The 6,929-nt window shown below is 42.8% G+C and overlaps 1 annotated feature.

The window, feature by feature from the left end:
- Positions 2,423-2,924: an enhancer, noted in NCBI's record as "H3K4me1 hESC enhancer chr9:43471861-43472361 (GRCh37/hg19 assembly coordinates)". NCBI's record gives its function as "activates a minimal SCP1, AML or CMV promoter by ChIP-STARR-seq in naive H9 embryonic stem cells {active_cell/tissue: H9 hESC(naive)}" and the evidence as "EXISTENCE:reporter gene assay evidence [ECO:0000049][PMID:30033119]".

Here is a 6,929-nt window from a genome sequence, read left to right as displayed (position 1 = left end):
CGCTTCAACCCAGGAGGTGGAGGTTGCAGTGAGCCCCTGAGATCATGCCATTGTGCTGCAGCTTCAGCAACAAGAGCGAAATTTTGTCTCAAAAAAAAAAGAAAAAAAGAAAAAAAGAAGACTGACCATGTTGAGAGGTGAAGCCAGCTGGGCTTCTGGGGCAGGTGGGGACTTGGAGAACTTTTATGTCTAGCTAAAGGATTGCAAATGCACCAATCAGCACTCTGTAAAATGGACCAATCAGCAGGATGTGGGCAGGGCCAAATAAGGGACTAAAAGCTGGCCACCCAAGCTAGCGTCAGCAACTCGCTTGGGTTTCCATCCAGGCTGTGGAAGCTTTGTTCTTTTGCTCCCCACAGTAAATCTTGCTGCTGCTCACTCTTTGGGTCCGCCCCACCTTTAAGAGCTGTAGCACTCGCCACGAAAGTCTGTGGCTTCACTCCTGAAGTCCGTGAGATCACGAGCCCATGGGAAGGAGGAAACTCCTGACACACCATCTTTAAGGGCTGTAACACTCACGGCGAGGTTGGCTGCTTCATTCTTGAAGTCAGCAAGACGAAGAACCCACCACAAGGAATAAATTCCGGACACAATGTTACCTGTCATTTAAAATGTAGCCACTTCTCCTCCCTTTCCTGGTCTCTCCTTGTTCCTATTGGAAGTTACCTCTAACACTTCCATTTGTTTAATATCATAAAGTTGCAAGAAACGTACAGAGAGAGAAAAAGGTTCTAACTTTTCTTAAGATAATATGGGTGTATATATACGCAAATATATATATAATGCTTGTATAAATTAACATTTATTATCTTCTATGATATGATAAGGCATATCACCAAGTAATCTGGAATATCAAAATATCAGCATCAGCTCTCTCTGTTTCAATACGTATAAACTAGGTAGTTCACTAGGAACTTTGAATACATTAGCTCTGACCTTTACAACAGTTCTATGGAAAAAAAATAGTTATCTCCTTTTAACAGAGGAAGAAAATTGATTTTTCAGGGTATTTCCACTCTTACCTCAGTTTCCTCATATGTAATGTGGGATTGACTCAGTCATCTGCTTGAAAGAAGACGGGCAAATCTGGTCCTCTGAAGAGGGAAAGGGGAGATGAGTGAAAATGAACAGAGGAAGCCAAAAAAAAAAAAAAACACACACAAGCACACACCAAAAATAAAGAGGAGACCCATTTTAACAGGCATATAACAAGTCAGTTTTATCTCTTTATTTTTTTATTTTGTATTTTTTTTTGAGACTGAGTCTCACCCTGTCGCCCAGGCTGGAGTGCAGTGGCACAATCTTGGCTCACTGCAACCTCCACCTCCCGGGCTTAAAGGATTCCCTTGACTCAGCCTCCAGAGTAGCTGGGATTACAAGTGTGCACCACCATGCCTGGCTAAGTTTTTGTATTTTTAGTAGAAAGGGAGTTTCACTGTGTTAGCCAAGATGGTCTCGATCTCCTGACCTCGTGACCCACCCACCTCGGCCTCCCAAAGTGCTGGGATTACAGGCATGAGTCACCACCCCCGGCCGAAACCTTAATTTTATGAAATGTTTTTTATGTTCCAGACCTTAACTGATGAGCTTTTAAAACTAACTTCTAAATTTGAAATGTATATTTAATTATGGAATACGCTTTAATGTAATCTTTTGGGATAATCACCTAATATTTTGCCTTGGCATTAGGCATGGAGCATTTGTCTGGGTGATCACATGGAGGGCCCTGCCTCAGTTTACCTCCCTCATTGACCTGCTTGTTGACTAAATTATCATAACTTGATCACAATTCCTTTGAAGCTGCCTGAATCAAAGCCACTGATCTGCAGATAAAATCAAAATACACATTCAGTGTTACACACAAAGTAACATTGCCTTATATACTGTATCTACACTTTATTGAGAACTGGAAATTCCATAAAGATGGAGAGGCATTACTGAAGGCAAGCAAGCAAAACTCTAGCATGCAGTCAGACTCATGGCAGGAATTAGGCATGATCTACCTTGTCCTCACCCTTGGGGCACTGCCTGCATGTCTGTAGGCCTCGGCCATGCCCAGCTCCTGTGGCTGCCTGGAAAGTGTGGGTTTGGCCAGTTGCTGCCATCACTACTCCTCAATAGGTCCTGGATCTCAGAATTTGCCTGGTAGTCCTGGGCCCACCTGCTGATGTTCAGGATAAAGGGAGTGGGGAGAAGGGGTCATTCTGCTTCCTTCACGTGGAAGTGCAGGTGTTAGTTTTGGGGGACTGGACAGCAAAGAGCATGGTTCCTTGACTCCTGGGTCATGGGGTGTCTGGCCACTTCCACATCGTTGCCACTCACTCCTAGTGATACACCAGGCACCAGAGGCTCCACTCCTGAGGCACATGCCCCGGCTGCCTCAACACTGGCCCTTCCCCCCACCTTGGATGAGCTCCTGTTGCTTCAGCATGAGCAGGGCTCACTCTTTCACTCTGCAGCAGGCCTAGGCTGTGCTGGCTTCTGAGATGCCCCGGGGCACCTGCTGGGAAGTGGGGTGTATGTGCGTGAGGCGCCAGTGTTGGTCCATTCTCGCTGGGCAGCCTTATTTTCCCAGCTTTTTCCTTGTGCCGCCCTCAGCCTTTTGTCTCTCATGACTTCCCTTTCAGGTCACACCACTTTGCTGCTTGATCCTTGAGTGTTAGCAACCCTTCCCTGCTCTGGGACTCAGTTTACCTTTTGTTGGTCTAGAGGGGCAGGACAGGTGATTTCTTCCCAGCTTGACTCCAGATCAATAGCTTGCCCTCCCCTGGTGACAGCAGAGAGATCTGTGAATCACTGCCCACCCTCACCCCCACTCCTGCCCCTCGGCATACTCCCCGCCCCAGGTCTTCCCAGGTCACCTGCTCTTAGGCTCCACCACACCCCTGCAGGTCAGCCTCTCCCAGCAGCCTTCCCGTAGACTCCTTCTCCTCTCTCCCCCTCTCTTTCCTGTAGAGGCTTTGGAGCCCATCAGCCCGAGGACCAGGACTCCACCGCCCTGCACCCCTCTTGCGCCAGGATGGCCCCAAACTTCGGCAGATGCTCTGGCTCTAAAACTTGGACCAGCACCAGGTACCCCAGGCAGGGCCCTAGTTCTGCTGTCCTGCCCTGAAGGCCATGTTCGGTGGCTGGCCTAGCCTGATGGGAACATGTACAGTCAGGAAATCTCTCCACAGCTCCAGGCCCAGGTAAATGGTTCTCAATACTCTGGTCCAAGGGACTGGTCCTTTGAGGTCAGGAGCACATCTCAGCTTCAAGGAAAGCTGAAAAACATGCAAGACTCTATTGCCAGGAGAATTTATTTTTATTTTTTCTTTGTGTTATTATTATTTTTTCTTTATCTGCCTTTTTTTTCTTTTTTTTGTTTTGTGATGGAGCCCAGGCGGGAGTGCAGGGGCATGATCTTGGCTCACTGCAACCTCCGCCTCCTGGGTTCAAGTGATTCTCTTGCCTCAGCCTCCCCAGGTAGCTGAGACTACAGGCGTGTGCCACCAAGCCCAATTAATTTTTTTTTCTTTTTTTTTTTTTAGCAAAGATGGGGTTTCACCATGTTGGCCAGGCTGGTCTCAAACTCTTGACCTCAGGTGACCTGCCTGCCTTGGCCTCCCAAAGTGCTGGGATTACAGGTGTGAGCCACCTCACCTGGCCCTGGGCCAATAATTTTTTAATAACTCCTACCATAATATTTTTGTTTGTTATTTATTTGATAAATATGATAGACTAAAAATAAATTAGCAAGGCCGGGTGCGGTGGCTCACGCCTGTAATCCCAGCACTTTGGGAGGCCAAGGCAGGCAGATCACCTGAGGTCAGGAGTTTGAGACCAGCTTGGCCAACAGGGTACTAAAAATACAAAAATTAGCCAGGCGTGGTGGCAGGTGCCTGTAATCCCGGCTACTTGGGAAGCTGAGGCAGGGGAATCACTTGAACCCGGGAGGCGGTTCTGTTTGCAAGTATAGTTGTAACTGCAACCCAAAATGTCTTAGAAACTTGCTATTTGAAGTATTGTCATCACCTGGGATCTTGCTAGAATCTGCATTTAACAACATTCTCAGGCAATTTTAATGATCATTAGGTTTGAAAAACACTGCCTTAAAACAAAGGAAAGAATGGCAGGCAAGTTTCAATTCTAAGCATGCTATATTGTATGTTCTTGGGCAAATTCCACTAAGTCTGAATTTTAAAACAGTTAACTATGGGTAGTAATGAATGAAGTGTCACCTTGTAAAGCTACTTTGAGAAATCCAAGTGTTGGCAAACCCTTTGCAAAAATAAAGTTGCTGAACATATTCTAATACAGTTATGTTGGGCTCCTGTTCTTATGAGGCAGAGAAAATTATGCTTTAATCAGAGCTTCTAAGTCACAATCACTGGAATCTATTATTAGCCTTTAAGTCCTCATTCTTGAGACAGCACCATGTCTATTCTTGGTTGCTGGGAAACTGATTATGCTCTTCAAATAGAAACTGCAGCAGCAGATGAACTTTAAGAAAATATAATCATGTTTGTAAGAAGAAAAATTTAATAAAGGAAGAAATGAAGCAAAGGAAACTCATAAACTGATCTGTTTTGAAATTCCATTTCTGCCCTCATGATAGCATTATTGACTTAATAATGAAGCAATGTTACTCATTCACAATTGTACAGCAATGGCCAAAGACTGAATGACCTCTATTTTCTGAAATTGTTTCATTCACAGAGTTCACTCCTGATGGGAACATCCAGAGACATCTTCAGAGAGCTTTGCTTTGACCCCCACCCCCCAACATTTTAAGGCATGGATCTGGAAATAATGTAGTTGGTTTACAAAGGTAAGTCTTATTTTACAATTGCATATTCCACAAAGGCATTTCACTTTCAAAGCTCCTCCAAGACAATTACCTCCAGATTGAGACACACCCTGCTCCTGAATTCATGCCTGCATACCAGCCATTCTTAATCACCTTCCTTTTTAATCCAGTTGGAAAATAAAATGTTTCCTTGTTCTCTGAATGTACAGTACTCAGATGTACAGTGAAAATGATTGATGCTGAAACCGCCTATAAATTCTTTGATTCCATCAGCTTTTCTCTTTCTACTGGCCATTTCCCATTAGTGTTTAAACTTAAGACTCACACATCTCCCATCAAATAAACCCCCTTCACCCTACTTCACCGATTTCAGTATTTTAGCTTCTCCTCTCCTTATTGACTTCCCATTTATCTTTCAGTCCATCCTGCTCTATTTTCACTTCTACAATTGCACAGAAATGTCTCTGATAAAAGTTCCCAGCATACACTTTGGAACTGATATTACTTGATCTCACTTCAGTGGTAACAATATGCTGCTGATGGAAGTACCACAGAACTCACAAAAAGCTTTTACTTCTCCAGGAAATTTCATCATGTCTGTCTAGACCCAACAAAGCCAAACCCTGAACAATGGCCATTTCAGCCTCCATTTGACCCAAGCCAACTTATATTGAATAAACTAATGCTTTAAAAATTATAATGAGCCAGGCATGGTGGCTCATGCCTGTAATCCCAGCATTTTAGGAGGCCGAGGCGGGTGGATCTCTAGAGGTCAGGAGTTCAAGACCAGCCTGGCCAACATGGTGAAACTGTATCTCTACTAAAAATACAAAAATTAGCTAGGCGTGGTGGCACCCACCTGTAATCCCAGCTAGTAGAGAGGCTGAGGTGGGAAAATCGCTTGAACCCAGGAGGCAGAGGTTGCAGTGAGCTGAGATCACACCACTACACTCCAGTCTGAGTGACAGAGCAAGACTGTCTCCAAAAATAATAATAAATAAATAAATAAATAAATAATGAAATTCAATTGATAATGATGGAAATCAACCAATAAACCTACAATACTTTAAGATTCTTTTTAAAAGAAAACAATATATTTTTATTAGAAAAAGTAAAGGATTTATTCATAATAAGTAAATCTTGGTTTCAGAGCTCTTAATTTACTGATTGACTGTGATCAGATGCCAGTGGGAATGTGTCTGTAGCACCATTACTCACATGAGGGAGTATTTTAACCCTTTATATATACATCACTAATAGTGGAACCTTGAAGAAGTCCATTTCTCAATATTGATATAAATTATAATTTATATTGACACACTAGTTTTTTTTCCCATAAGTTTTATATTGAATCCAAGAAAGCTTTATCAGTGTCTGACACCAAGACATATGCTTTAACCGTAATGTGTTTGGAATGTCCACAGTATATTCCACGGTGTGTGAATCTTTAGCTTTAGAAATTAGCTTTGACAAGGGAGAGGTCCTGAATTATCCAACAACAAAATTGAATTATTGTATAAGATGTAGCGCCCATACCTGCAGGGCATGTGAAGCTCAGTGATTGGATAATAAGACTTTTACTAATGTTATGGAACCTGGGATAAGCATTGCGATAGAACCAGGAAGACTGTTGTAGTTCTTTTATGACTCAGAAACAGTATGATGACTTATAACTAAAACTTTGTTCATACAAGGCCAGCACTCTTCTAATGATGCAATATGCATTTGATTTATCCATTGTTACTATTGTCCACATGAAAAGCAAAAATTGACGTAATGTTTATGATTTAAATAATGTAATATATAATTATAATAGTAATAAAAGCATATATAATAATGTTTATATTATGAGTACGTTAGGTGGGGTTTCCTTCTTTTCCCTTCAAAGCTGGATAAAATTGAATTATATAGCCAATAACATGCCCTGTGCAAGTCTAATACTCTCTTGAAAAGTGAAATCTCTCAGGTAAGCCAAAGTTTCATTGTCACCTCTGGCTAAAAATTTCTACTTCTAGTACGTGTGAGATTTTTTTTTTTTTTTTTTTTTTGAGACTGAGTCTTGCTCTATCACCCAGGCTGGAGTGCAGTGGCATGATCTCGGCTCACTGCAACCTCCACCTCCCGGGTTCAAGCGATTTTT

The sequence above is a fragment of the Homo sapiens genome, chromosome 9, assembly GCF_000001405.40.
Source record: "Homo sapiens chromosome 9, GRCh38.p14 Primary Assembly".
Classification (NCBI taxonomy): Eukaryota; Metazoa; Chordata; class Mammalia; order Primates; family Hominidae; genus Homo; species Homo sapiens.
The sequence above is the reverse complement of the archived record's forward strand: the minus strand, read 5'-3'. Positions and strand labels throughout refer to the sequence as shown.